This window comes from Homo sapiens, chromosome 12, assembly GCF_000001405.40.
Source record: "Homo sapiens chromosome 12, GRCh38.p14 Primary Assembly".
Classification (NCBI taxonomy): domain Eukaryota; kingdom Metazoa; phylum Chordata; class Mammalia; order Primates; family Hominidae; genus Homo; species Homo sapiens.
The window spans coordinates 14,247,925-14,262,686 of NC_000012.12; the positions used below are offsets into that span (position 1 = coordinate 14,247,925).

General features: G+C 45.5%; 2 pseudogenes, besides 2 other annotated features; one reads left to right on the plus strand and one right to left on the minus strand.

The window, feature by feature from the left end:
- Positions 1,470-1,984: an enhancer, noted in NCBI's record as "NANOG-H3K27ac-H3K4me1 hESC enhancer chr12:14402328-14402842 (GRCh37/hg19 assembly coordinates)". NCBI's record gives its function as "activates a minimal SCP1, AML or CMV promoter by ChIP-STARR-seq in primed H9 embryonic stem cells {active_cell/tissue: H9 hESC(primed)}" and the evidence as "EXISTENCE:reporter gene assay evidence [ECO:0000049][PMID:30033119]".
- Positions 2,308-2,417, minus strand: RNU6-491P (RNA, U6 small nuclear 491, pseudogene; annotated as a pseudogene).
- On the plus strand, positions 6,990-7,562 carry GNAI2P1 (G protein subunit alpha i2 pseudogene 1; annotated as a pseudogene).
- Positions 9,546-10,475: a transcriptional cis regulatory region, noted in NCBI's record as "candidate enhancer chr12.662 targeted for multiplex CRISPR interference". NCBI's record gives its function as "positively regulates ATF7IP gene expression with high confidence in K562 cells {active_cell/tissue: K562}" and the evidence as "EXISTENCE:mutant phenotype evidence [ECO:0000015][PMID:30612741]".

The window sequence follows — 14,762 nt, forward strand, 5'->3', positions numbered from 1 at the left end:
TGTTGAAGCGCTAACCCCCAATGTGAGTGCACTTGGAGACAGAGCCTTTAAAGAGGTCATACTGGGCGCAGTGGCTCACGCCTGTAATCCCAGCACTTTGGGAGACCAAGGCAGGTGGATCACCTGAGGTCAGGAGTTCGAGACCAGACTGGCCAACATGGCAAAACCCTGTCTCTACTAAAAAACAAAAAATACGGCTGGTGCAGTGGCTCACATCTGTAATCCCAGTGCTTTGGGAGGCCGAGGCAGGCAGATTACTTGAAGTCAAGAGTTTGAGACCAGCCTGGCCAGCATGGTGAAACCCCATCTCTACTAAAAATACAAAATAATTAGCTGGGCATGGTGGCACATGCCTGTAGTCCCAGCTACCTGGGAGACTGAGGCAGGAGAATGGCTTGAACCTGGGAGGTGGAGGTTGCAGTGAGTCGAGATCACACCATTGCACTCCAGCCTGGGCAACAGAGCAAGACTCCGTCTCCAAAAAGAAAAAAAAAAAATTAGCTGGGCGTGGTGGCAGGCTACTCCGGAGGCTGAGGCAGGAGAATGGCGTGAACCTGGGAGGCGGAGCTTGCAGTGAACTGAGATCGTGCCACTGCTCTCCAGCCTGGGCAACAGAGCGAGACTCCGTCTCAAAAAAAAAAAAAAATACAAAAATTAGTCAGGTGTGGTGGCGCACTCTGTTGTCTCAGCTACTCAGGAGGCTGAGGCACAAGAATCGCTTGAACCCAGGAGGTGGAGGCTGCAGTGAGTTAAGATCGCAGTACTGCACTCCGGCCTGGGTGACAGAGTAAGACACCGTCACAAAAAATAATAATAACAAGAGGCCAGGCACGGTGGCTCACACCTGTAATCCCAGCACTTTGGGAGGCTGAGGTGGCGCGGATCACGAGGTCAGTAGACTGAGACTATCCTGGCTAACATGGTGAAACCCCATTTCTACTAAAATTACAAAAAATTAGCCGGGCATGGTGGCACGTGCCTGTAGTCCCAGCTACTTGGGAGGCTGAGGCAGGAGAATCACTTGAATCTGGGAGACGGAGGTTGCAGTGAGCTGAGATCACGCCACTGCACTCCAGCCTGGGCGACAGAGCGAGACTCCCGTCTCAAATAAATAAATAAATAAATAATAACAGTCCCTAAAACGTGGAATTGGCTAATTGAGGTGAGGTATAAAGTAGTGAGAATTTCCCCACTCCCCAGTTAGGAATGATTATCAATTACTGGTTTTGGGTAAAAAACGCCTGGTTAGATTGCTGCCTATTTTATATTAGGACTCTTCATGTATTAAACAATAACAAGGCTGGATGTTTGGAGACTTGATAGAATATTCACTATGTTGAAATGTTTGCTTTTTGGTAAAGTCCAGCAAGAAAGAGTCAAACTTTGTTTGAACCTAGCTGGTCTAGAAATAGAAAATATGAAAAACACAGTTTTGCCTAGGTTAATAATCCAGGATGGCCAATAATCAGTTCTGGCTTTCCAGGATTAGAATGTCAAAATTCTATACCCAAAAATAAAGTGAACGCTAAGGAGGCCAGGATACTGATATCCACAGATCACTCCCAGTTACTTCCTGTTATTCATGCCCTGGATGACAAAGGGGACAATTGTTCTCATTACAAAGAGCCAGTCAAAAGAATGTAGCCAGAAAAGAAGGGACTGTCTCACTCTGCCTCTCCACCTCGGATACGGCCATGATAGAGGTCAACAAGCTACAAAGTAGTGGACGGCCCAAGCACTGGTTTGTTCTAAGAAACAAGATAAAAAGAATTCTGGTTTTGGTTATAACCTTGGGGAATGTGAATAGAAAACAAAAAAGTACTAACATTATATGTAAGTTATATTGCTTTAGAAACCCTAAGCCTGGCCAGGCGCAGTGGCCCACACCTGTGATCCCAGCACTTTGGGAGGCCGAGGTGGGCGGATCACCTGAGGTTGGGAGTTCGAGACCAGGCTGACCAACATGGAGAAACCCTGTCTCTACTAAAAATACAAAATTAGCCAGCCATGGTAGTGCATGCCTGTAATCCTAGCTACTCGGGAGGCTGAGGCAGGAAAATCGCTTGAACCCGGGAGGCAGAGGTTGCAGTGAGCCAAGATCACGCCATTGTATTCCAGCCTGGGCAGCAAGAGCGAAACTCTGTCAAAAAAAAAAAAAAAACCTGAGCCTAGCAAACAAAGACCTATGATTACTCAGCATCTAAGCCAATCAATACCCAAAGCCCCCAAACCTTCCCAAAAGGTTTCTGCTAAAGAAAAAAAAAGAGAGGAACTCTATTCTAATGACCACCTCAAACCTTTCTTTTTTTTAATATGGAATGCTTCACAAATGACGTGCACGTAATCCCCGCAGAGGGACAATGCTAATCATCTCTGTGTAATTCCAATTTTAGTATATGTGCTGTTGAAGCAAGCATTGTTTCTTCTGTTTTGAAAACGGTATTTTTTTACTGTGGTAATCCTGTTTTCCTTTCATTTTTGTGCAATAGATGTTTCAGGATGATCAAATATATTATTTAGCTATAGGTTCCAAAATCATAAGGCCTTTTAGAATAGTGCTATTCAAAGACTATAAAGCTATGTTGCACTTTTGCAACTATAGACATATATGTGATACTTCTGAGAATTTTTATTTAAGCCAAACAAAATAAAACAAAACACCATGATCTCTTGAACATTGTCATTGTCACTGTACTATTTCATGGCCAAGCCAAAATTCTTTGAGAGCAGATAATAGGAAAGATAGTATTTCATACAAAGTTGAGAAAATCATGGATGGCTAGTACAGGTTAACTAAATTATGCAAAGGCATGTATTGAGATGATGACACAATAAAGACAGGAATTCGGGGCTTTCTCTGTTTTCATTCAGAGACAAGAAAAGACTAGGCAGCAAAGCTGGGCATGGTGGCTCACACCTGTAATCTCAACACTTTGGGAGGCTGAGGCGGGAGGATCACTTGAGCCCAAGAGTTTTAGATCAGCCTGGGCAACATAGTGAGACCCCCCATCTCTACTGAAAATCAAAAATTATCTGGGCATGATGGCAATGTGCCTGTAGTCCCGGCTACTAGGGAGGCTGAGGTAGAAGAATTGCTTGAGCCCAGGAGGTTGAGGCTGCAGTGAGCCTTAATAGCGCCACTACCATCCAGCCTGAGTGACAGAGTGAGGCCCTGTCTCAAAAAAAAGAGACCAGGCAGCAGCTACTGACACCCTAGCTTACTACCCATCTCTGGGCACTATCTCTTATTAACCTATCTTTGAATTTTTATTAGGGTGACACCAGCAATAGTCCCATACTCCTAATCCAGGTAAGGGAAAAGAGAGCTGGAGGCAGAAACAAGGAGGGAAGGGATGAAGATGGAAAAGAGAGAAAGAAAATGAATGCCAACTAGTCTTCCTCTCCTCACTTTGGCAGTGATAGACTCTTGCTCACTCCCTTTGTGCACTCTGGTAGAAAAGCAGCACATTCCATTTAGTTATGCCTCTGTCAGCACGGCGAGTGTTATTTAATTGCAGAAAACAATTTGGAGATAAGAGTGAGATTCAGGAAGGAAATTATTTTCCTTTCTTTTCAAAAATGGTACAAAAATAACAAGAACAAAACCATACTTAAGGAAGGAAGTAGATGGAACACAATAATATGGAGAACCATTATTCCTTCCCAGATTAGGCAGGAGAGCTAGGATCTAGTCCTATCTGGCCACACAAAACACATGGTTCAAGCTTTCTGGAGTTCCGTTTCCTCATCTGAAAAGGCAGGGGGTTAATTTTGTATTAAGATACTTTGAAGAAGGAATAACCATTTTTCGTGAAAGTTCAAGGGAGGATATAAAAAGAAACTAAGATTTAACAACACTTATCTTGTGCCAGGTAATTAGCACTAGGATTTTTAAAGTAGAGACTCAAGCATCCTGGGTTTGTGTTTGTGTTCTGCCTTCTACTAGCTGTGTGACCTTGGGCAAGTTACCTAACTTCTCTGTGTTTCCTTGTCCCCAGCAGAAAATGGGAACAATGGGCCAGGCACAGGGGCTCACGCCTGTAATCCCAGCACTTTGGGAGGCTGAGGCGAGAGGATCACTTGAGTCCAGGAGTTCAAAACCAGCCTAGGCAACATAGCAAGACTTCCTCTCTACTAAAAATCTAAAAATTAGCCAGAAGCAGTGGTACAAGCCTGCAGTCTGAGCTACTCTGGAGGCTGAGGCAGGAAGATCACTTGAGCCCAGGAGTTCAAGGCCACAGTGAGCTATGACTGCACCACTATACTCCAGCCTGAGCAACAGACAGAGATCCTAACTATAAAAAATAAAAATAAAATGGGAACAATTGTACCTTCTCCAAAGGGTGGCTATGAGGAAAACAGTTTATATATACAATGTGGTTTATACATACTATATATACATATATATCATAACAGTAAACTGGCACAAAGTATTGCTATGTAATTGCTCTTATAATGATTATTACAACTTTATAGAGATATTTTTATAGATGAAAAAACAAAATAGATGAGGAAACCACGGCTTCAGAGCTTTGAGTTTTTCTGACCTCAATATTCGGTCTCTCAACTATTGATTACCCTGAACCAGTTAAAAGAAGTGAAAGTCAGCCGGGCGTGGTGGCTCACGCCTGTAATCCCAGCACTTTGGGAGGCTGAGGTGGGCAGATCACCTGAGGTTAGGAGTTCGAGACTAGCCTGGCCAACATGGAGAAACTGTCTCTACTAAAAACACAAATTAGCCGGGTGTGGTGACGCATGCCTGTAATCCCAGCTACTCGGGAGGCTGAGGCAGGAGAATCTCTTGAACGCCAGAGGCGGAGGTTGTGGTGAGCTGAGATCGTGCCATTGCACTCCAGCCTGGGCAACAGGAGCGAAACTCCATCCCAAAAAAAAAAAAAAAAAAAAAAAGAAGTGAAAGTCACAGAATTTTGTAGTCAGTTAGGGAAATCCTACCAGTTTCACAACGAGTCAATCAAAACCTTGCAATAAATACACAATAAAGCTGTGCTTCAAATGTCCTCCAACACCTAGCACAGCTTTTAGAACAGCTAATTTGCTTAGGTGAAGAAATGCTCCAGGCAGGGCACAGTGGCTCATGCCTGTGATCCCACCTCACTGGGAGGCAGAGGTAGGAGTCACTTGAAGCCAGGAGTTTGAGGGCAGCCAGAGCAACACAGAGAGACCCTGTCTCTGTGAAAAAATAAAAAAATAAATAGGCCAGGCATGGTGGCTCATGCCTGTAATCCCAGCACTTTGGGAGGCCCAGGCGGGTGGATCATTTGAGGTCAGGAGTTCAAGACCAGCCTGGTCAACATGGCGAAAGCCCATCTCTACTAAACATACAAAAATTAGCCAGGCTTGGTGGTAGGCACCTGTAATCCCAGCTACTAGGGAGTCTGAGGCAGGAGAATCGCTTGAACCAGGGAGGTGGAGGTTACAGTGACCAGAGATTGCACCACTGCACTCCAGCCTGGGCAACAAAGTGAGACTCTGTCTCAAAAAAAAAAAGAAAAATAGAAAAAAATAACCAAGTGTGATGGTGCATGCCTATAGTCCCAGCTACTCTGGAGGCTGAGGTGAGAGGATCACTTGAGCCCAGAAGTCAAGGCTGCAGGGAGCCAGGATCAGGCCACTGCACTCTAGCTAGCATCAGTGACAGAGTGAGACCCTGTCTCAAAAAAAAAAAAAGCCCCAAAGACATTACTCTTGTGTTGGGCTGAAATCCAGTGAATTGGTGGCCCCTCTCTCTCTCTCTCATCTGAAGGTTTTCAGAGATGCAAATTGCCTACTTGAAATTCTGTGGCATTAGACTTCTGCTTGGATGAGTCCCTGGCCAGGAGTAGAATCTTTTTTTTTTTTTTTGAGACTGAGTCTTGCTCTGTCACCCAGGCTGGACTGCAGTGGCACGATCCCAGCTTAGTGCAACCTCTGCCTGCCGGGTTCAAGCGATTCTCCTGTATCCCCTCCCTAGTAGCTCAGATTACAGGCACCCACCACCATGCCCAGCTAATTTTTATATTTTTAGTAGAGACGGGGTTTTGCCATGTTGGCCAGGCTGGTCTCAAACTCCTGACCTCAAGCGATCCACCCACCTCAGCCTCCCAAAGTGCTGGGATTACAGGCGTGAGCCACCTCGCCCAGCTAGGATCCATTTTTTTTTTTTTTTTTTTTTTGGGACAGAGTCTCGCTCTGTCACCCAGGCTGGAGTGTGGAGTGCAGTGGCGCGATCTCGGCTCACCGCAACCTCCACCTCTTGGGTTCAAGCAATTCTCCTGCGTCAGCCTCCTAGTAGCTGGGACTACAGGTGCATGCCACCACACCCAGCTAAGTTTTTGTATTTTTAGTAGAGGTGAGGTTTCACTGTGTTAGCCAGGATGGTCTCAATCTCCTGACCTCATGATCGGCCCACCTTGGCCTCTCAAAGTGCTGGGATTACAGGCGTGAGCCACCATGCCCGTTGTGTGTGTGTGTGTGTGTGTGTGTGTGACACGAAGTTTCAATCTTGTTGCCCAGGCTGGAGTGCAATGGCATGATCTCAGCTCACTGCAACCTCTACCTCCCGGGTTCAAGCAATTCTCCTGTCTCAGCCTCCCGAGTAGCTGAGATTACAGGCGCCCGTCACCACCCCTGGCTAATTTTTGTATTTTTAGTAGAGATGAGGGTTTCTCCATGTTGGCCAGGCTGGTCTCGAACTCCTGACCTTCGGGTGATCCACCCACCTCGGCCTCCCAAAGTGCTGGAATTACAGGCATGATCCACCAGGCCTGGCCGCCAGGATACTCTTTTAAAGGAGGAATTGGTAAATCCTTTCCCTCTGGTGATAGGGACAGTTTTGATAAAGATGGAAGGGGGAAAACCATGTGCATGACTCCAGACTCAGAAACCAAAACCCAAGTTGAATTCCATCTCAGAGTAAAATCAAGTACTACAGATGAGAAAACACAGACGGTAAGAATTATAAGACTAGTGTGTCTTTTCTTAGGGGATAAAAGCTGTTTGACAGCATCTGCAACAAGTGGTTCACAAACACGTCCATCATCTACTTCCTCAACAAGAAGGAGCTGTTGGAGGAGAAGATCACACACAGCCCCTGACCATCTGCTTCCCTGAGTACACAGGGTCCAACAAGTATGATGAGGCAGCCAGCTACAACCAGAGTAAGTCTGAGGACCTGAATAAGCACAAAGACACCAAGGAGATCTACACACACTTCACATGCGCCACCGATACCAAGAACGTAGTTCGTGTTTGATGCCATCACCGACGTCATCATCAAGAACAACCTGAAGGACTGGGGCCTCTTCTGAGGGGCAGTGGGACCTAGCAGGATGGGCCACCACCAACTCTGTACCCCCCAACCCCTGAGGAAGATGGGGCAAGAAGACCATGGTCCCCACCTGTTCCCTGGACACTTTTCTCTTCTTTCCTTTGTTCTTAGCTCCCCCATCCCCTCAGCTTCAGACATAGGGGAGGGGTTGCCACAGGCCTCCCTGTTTGAAGCCTGCCCTTGTCTGAGGTGCCAGTAATGGCCATGGTACCCCCTTTCTGGGCATCTTTCTGGTACCCCCCAGAAGCTGTGAAGATTCTATTCTACTCAGTAGCTCTCATTATGTAAAGAGGAACCCTGAAATAAATCAGTTGTTCCTGAAAGTTCACAAGAGTAAGAAAACAGACTGAATCGTAAAAGAACTAACTGGTATAAAAGAAGAAGCCAGAAAGTAGTGGACTGGGACCAGAGAAATAATATTTGAATTTAATTAATCTGTTCAACAAATATTTGCTCCTTGCTAACATTTTGCCAGGTCCTATGCTTGTTATACAGTTTTGATCAGACAGACACGGCCCAAGGGTACTTAGAAAGCTAGTTGCGGGTGAAGGGGGAGAGCCAATGTACAAGAAAACAAATATATATAATTGTAAGTTACAGTGGTGCTACAACAGAAAAAAAGAGGTTGCCATGTAAGATGATAAGAAGGTATAAGGAATTTACTTTGGACCAAGCATTCAGGAAGGCCTCTGAGGAAGGCAAAGCTTGACCAGAGGGTAGGAGGAACTCAGAGGACAGTGAAAGGAGAGAGGAATAAGGGGTGGGGGGGGAGGGTGGAGATTTCAAGGTGGAGTGAAAAATGCAAAGATCCTAAAATAAAAGCATCTCTAAGAATCAGAGGGCCAGTTTGGATGGCTTGACCTCTACCCTTCTTGAATCCCCTTTGATACTGAACATTTTGGAAAATCCCGTGTAGCATATACTGTGTGCCTTCCCACAATAACTGATGACTCTTAAATCTCACAAAAACAAATTCAACTGATGAATTCACGTCCTTTTAACATACATTTTGAAGATTATCTTAGCCCAAACCGGCACCCACATCCTTCTGAGCGTACTGACTCACTAGACAAAGCCAACCCCTCCCCTCCTGTGTACAAAAATAGCTTTTCCATATCTACTGTTGTAATTGTTTTTTTTCCAGGGCTTTATGCTCTACTGAAACTAAACACTTAAATGAGCAATTTCACTCTGGTTTTAAGCCCAGGGGAAATGACAACGGTTTTGTCTCTGTTTTGAGACTTAGGGGCAAATTTTAAATCGTTAATATATAATTAATCCTATGTAACATCATAGAAACAAAACATCTGATTCTTCTTTCAGTATATTGCACACGTAAAATGCACATGAAACCAGGTTTGGAGAGTGATTCTTAGTAACGTAGCCTTGCATTTGTGCTTCGACATAAAATTGAGACATTCTCAAGAGGCCTTGGGACATGGTGACATGTTGCGCAGTTTGGCCAGCAGAGGGAGACCAGAGAGTCGTGAAGCACGCAACGAAGCCACACCCAGATTAGGGTTATTATCTGTCTCTTCTCTGAATTTTCAAAAAACACAAAAAGAAAATGAGAAATTCTTAAAACAAAGCCCCTTTTTTATTGAAGCAAAATCCACATAACATAAAACTAGCCCTTCTAAAGTGTGCAATTAAGTGGCATCTACCTCATTCACAGTGTTATGGAACCGTCACCTCTATCTAGTTCCAAAACATAAGAAATGTTTAAATTTTCTATAAAGGGAACTTGCAAAAACCCAGGCGTGTCCTATCCTCCTTATTTCGTCACATTCCCAGTTTTGTGTCCACCGGTATTCTGTCAGGAATGGTCCCCACGTGTTCCCCCAACAGCCTTCGTCACTGTACAATTCATAGAATCGGATTCAGGGTTACAATTACAGGTTCGAAAACCAAAAACATCCCAGTTCTTTAGTTCTTCCTCTAGGAATTGCACAGTTGCAATAGACAAGCCAGTATAGGTGACTGTTTTAAAAATTCTACACATACTATGTCATTTATCAGCAAAGAAATGAATAAATTGTTTTAATTTAAATATGGTTACAAAACGGAAATGAACAATGTACTGCACCAAAGCCCTTCAGTCTTTGATGGGAAATTTAAAGTTATTCCCATCCAGAGTGAAAATTAAAGTTATTTCTAGGTTAGGATGCGAGCCAAGATTTTAAGGGCACCATGTCAACTGGTTAGATAACAACTTTGAGGAAAGCAGAACTTAATGTAATAAAAGCAGAAGGTTTACAATCTAAATCCACTTTTTTATTAAAGAATTTAATCTGCTTTATGGGGTCTTGGCCCAGGGAAGGGTAAAAAAAAAATGCCAAACTGGAGAGGCCGGGGGAGGGGAATGGCTGTAGATGACTCTGGGAAAACAGGAGGGAGGGAAACTGAAGCGCGAATGAGGCCGGATCCGCCCTAACAAAGAGGCAGAAACTGTGTCTCAACAGCCACCAAATCCAGTTCAGGGCGGTTTGAGCCAGTTTCTGAGCTGGATTGAGAACAACAGCCTCGGCAGAGACTTCACTAGGGTGAAAGAGAAAATCCAGCATGGACTTCGCAGAAAGAACTGGATTTGGCCTGGACTCGCTGGAGCCTAAAGCTGCTGCCAGTAGTGGCAAAGTCAGATGAAATATAAGGCCTGGAGCGTGGACAGTGGCCTCTTCCAGAAAGAGAAATCACACAGCACTGTCTCTGTGCCATAATCCAGTCCGCATTTTCTGTCTTGCTGCTCCTAATTGTGGCTGGTAAGGGAAAAAGGGCCTCAGGGTATCAGTTTTCAGAGAAAGCTGTCTGCAATGTTGGGGGAGGGGAGGATTATGTGTCTCCTGTAGTTTCATGTGTGTGCCTGGTGGTGGGGGGGGGAATGTGCGAGAGGGTCTGAAGGAGAGGGAACAGCACTTCACACCCTGCAGTTCACACCACCTTTCCAACAGCTTTGCTGTATTGCACAACCTCAAAATACACTGAACATAGGCGTTGTGGGAGCGCCCCACATACAAGTGGCACTTGTACAAGTCATTATCGGACCTCCTTCAGCCCTATGCATGAAATGGCAGTACCCATACCCAATACTGTCAACATTCTCTTTTCATCTGCGTCCAGAAATACATACAAGCCGTACATGCCTTTCTCAACTAAGAGACACAGCAGTATTAGGTAACAATGGAATGATAATCCTGTCCTCCGCTCCCCTCCCCCAAGTGCCAGAACCTCCTAAGATCTGATCAGTCCCACCCTGAAATGGCTCCTCTAACACTGTCTAGTAGACTGAACTGTGGTCTGCAGCTGTGGAGGCTGTGCACTGCCTGTGGCCAAGTTTGGCTCAGAACCTTCCCGAACCAGTACAGCCCTTCCCCACCAAAAATTCCTAGGAGTTGTACACAAAGTCCAGGTCGGCCTGGTGGGACACTGTGTGTGTGTGTAAATTCCCTCTCCCCTAAGTGTCCAAAGATGTTTAGAATCTTCCAGAGGCACTAAATGCCTCCAGACCCAGGGCTTCTCTGACTGAAGTCAGCCCTGGTGCGAGCTGGGGGGCAGGGCATGGAGCTTACGACTCTCCCATGCACAGGCTCAATTATAAGCAGGGCTGTAGGTTTCAGAAATATTCCTAAGAGACTGGGGAAGGGAAAAGGAAGAAGATCAGCTGAAAGATGTGAAAATGCTATTTTATTCCTTTTACCATGGATACATAGATGGAAAATTGGAACACAATCCACTCTACATTATTAATGTGCGAAAATCAAACACACGAAACATGTTGCTGACATTTTCTATTTAATGTTTATTACACAAATAAGTAACTCATGAAGCTCTTCTACGTCCATTTCATTAACTATTAGATCTGGACTGCTGGGGATTCTGATAGGTCTTTTCTTTCTTTAGGATTTGTTTCTTTTTTGGTAGGGAACAATGAATTGCCCCACATGAAGATGCAGTAGGCTGGAGAGGATAACAGTAATAACCGCTGGGTGTGGTGGCTCACGCCTGTAATCCCAGCACTTTGGGAGGCCGAGGGGGGCAGACTGCCTGAGGTCAGGAGTTTGAGACCAGTCTGGCCAAAATGGTGAAACCCCGTCTCTACTAAAAAAAAACACACAAAAACTAGCTGGGCGTCGTGGTGTGCGCCTGTAATCGCAGCTACTCGGGAGGCTGAGGCAGGGGAATTGCTTGAACCAGGGAGGCAGAGGTTGCAGTGAGCCGAGATGCCACCACTGCACTCCATCCTGGGCGACAGAGTGAAACTCTGTCTCAAAAAATAAATAAATAAATAAATTTTAAAAAACAGTAATAACCATAATACTGAGAACTCACTATAAACCAGGCAGTACCAAGTGTTTCCTATCTTAAATTATAACATACACACCGTACATTTCCAAGTTAGGAATTATTGTCCCCATTTTAGAGATGAGGAAAATGAAGTTTGGAATGATTCGGTACTTTACCAACGTTACACATCTATAATGTGGCAGGTAAAGATTCTGGCTCCAAAATCCATACATTTAAGCTGATACTATACCCGCCACCTCACTGGCAACGGATTATAAACCCTTTTTCAGATCCTACTACGTGTCAGCCTACTTCCGGCTGGGGGAAGATGGTCATAGCGAGAGGGGAAGAATTGGTTCAGTGATGAGAACATGGTTGGTTCCTGCCTTCAACAAGCTTTCAATCTAATGCCTGTTTTTTTCAAGGACAATTCAGAACGGTCTGACAAGGGATTTTTTTTTTTCTGCCTTTCGCCCCCAGAGGCACTCTGGGAAAAAGAGTTTAGAATTTCCCTGCCATTTCCGTGCTGTGCGGGGAGGAACACTTGAAATCGGGCCTGGCGGGGTACCAGGAGGCAGCACAAGCAGGCGGGGTGGAGAGGGGCAGGGCGAGGCCCCGGGAGCCGTCACCATGGCAACCCAGTCTGCTTTCCAGAACAATGTCTCTAACCAGGAAAACAGCTCCAGAGAGCTCGCTCTTCATAATCCCCGTGGCCTGTCGGGTTAGGGAATGCACAAAGGGGAGTCTTTCTCCATAGAGAAATGACTCTTTACAAGGCGGGGAACAAAGGGGAAACATTTGTTGTATAGGATCTTTCTTTGTTATCTGGCTGAAATAAAATCAACAAAGTGCAATTACTTAGTTCCTCTCCACTCTTCACAGGAAATGAACGCTGCATTGTTAGGCAAGGTTCCTTTTTGTGAATAATATTTGCTGTAATTTTTCTTTTATCCCCATTTTATAGATGAGAGATTAGTAAGCATGAATGAACTTGACCTCTGCAAAACTGTAATTTGAGAACCAGGGCGTCTTTTAGAAGGCTTTGTGAAGGAGGCCCTGCCTTTGCCGACTTTGTGATAAACCTACCAGATAATGTGAGGAGGGTTGGTGTCCACGTGCTCGGGGCCTTGGGAGCCACCAGCGCTGGCTGGACTCAGCCGCTGCGCTCTGCTCCCTGCGCTCGCCCCTCCCCCGCACCCGCAAATGCAGCCAGGAGGAAGAGGCGAGGAGGAATGCAGGAGGCATTCCAGCCCCACCCCCGCAAGCCTCCTCCAGCGAGTTCCGAAACTACTGCTAAGTGGGCTGCAAGGAAGACAGTGAACCAGCTGGTGACTGTACTCCTCCAGGCTTTCACATGATCTACAGCCTGACTACACCCAGCGCATTGAAGGTTGTCCCTTGCTCTCTCTGAGCTAGGGTGTGACAGCCCTTAAAGATGAGGGTAACATCGCGGTAGTCAGTCCAGGCCTGCAAGACCAGGAACAACAGCAGTTACTGTATGCCTAATAACCGACGATTTTCCATCAGTGTCCACACTTACAAATAATGTCATTTTTTAATAGTTATATAAACCAGAAAGGTTAAGAGTTCGGCTACCTCGTGGCAATAAAAGTCCTGCTCTCTGTGTCTGGGTGTCCCCGAGGAGCCCAATCCATGACAAAATCGGAAAAGCCAGAACTAGACCTACACCTCTGCAGCAGTCCCTTTGTGCAGTGATGGAGGAGAGAGGGTCCCTCATTACTGGAGAAGTCATGGGTCGCACACTTTCCAGTCTACGCTAGAGATTTTGTTGCCCTAAGGTCACTTGGTGACAGGAAATGCAGTCCCTGCCCATCCCCCACCCCCAGGGACTAAGTTAAGAACCACTGCCAGAGAACCCTTGGAAGGAGTTAATTGGATGAACTATGGATATTAAATTAAGGCCCAAATATGTTGTCCATTCCACAGAAACTTTTTTTTTTTTTTTGACAGAGTTTCACTCTGTCACCAGGCTGGAGTGCAGTGGTATGATCTCGGCTCACTGCAACCTCTGCCTCCTGGGTTCAAGTGATTCTCCTGCCTCAGCCTCCCGAGTAGCCGGGACTACAGGCATGTGCCACCACGCCTGGCTAATTTTTTTTGTATTCTTAGTAGAGATGGGATTTCACCATATTGGTCAGGCTGGTCTTGAACTCCTGAACTCACGATCCACCCGCCTTGGTTTCCCAAAGTGGTGGGATTACAAGCGTGAGCCACCTTGCCTGGAAAGACACTTACATTTCAGTAGATAAAGTTAATTTACCCCGCTTTAGGAAGTCAAATTAATGGATCTTTGTAGTGAATTTCTAAAGACTCTTACATTGTTATAATCTTCCTCCCCAAAGTTTGATTCTTGTATTCAACATTAATTCAACATTCATTGAAAACTTCCTAACAACCAGGCAATATGGTACTATTGGCTACGCTGGGCTTGTGAGTTTTAAAAATCACATAAAGCGTGGAATGTACTTTCAAAGAGCTTACAGGCTGGGAAGATACACAGGAAGTCAGCTATTCCAGAGTGACATGGCATATCCTTTATAAGGATAGGAAAAAGAGGATGTGATATGGGAGAAAAGAGGAGGGACATGAAAAACAGTAAGGTTGAGTGGAGTGAGATATAGCCAGTGAGTTTCTCAGAAAGAGCTGAGAAATGAGATGGAGTTAGCTAGAATAAAACCAGAGCTAGCAGTCAGAAAAACAGAATTTTCTTTCTTTTTTTTTAGACAGAGTCTCACTCTGTCACCAGGCTGGAGTGCAGTGGCGCCAATCTCGGCTTACTGCAACCTCTGTCTCCCAGGTTTAAGAGATTCTCCTGCTCAGCCTCCCGAGTAGCTGGGATTACAGGCACTCACCACTATGCCCAGCTAATTTTTTGTATTTTTAGTAGAGACGGGGTTTCACCATGTTGGCCAGGCTGGTCTTAAACTCCTGACCTCATGATTCGCCCACCTCGGCCTCCCAAAGCGCTGGGATTACAGGCGTGAGCCACCGCGCCTGGCTAGAAAAACAGACTTTTCATTCCAGATGTATTAACAAACAGGTCAGCTACCAGCCAGAATTAAAAGAACTCAAACGCTAAGACAAAGCAAGGAGTCTGAAGTCCACTAGGTCAGTAGCTTTTCAGGACCTGAAA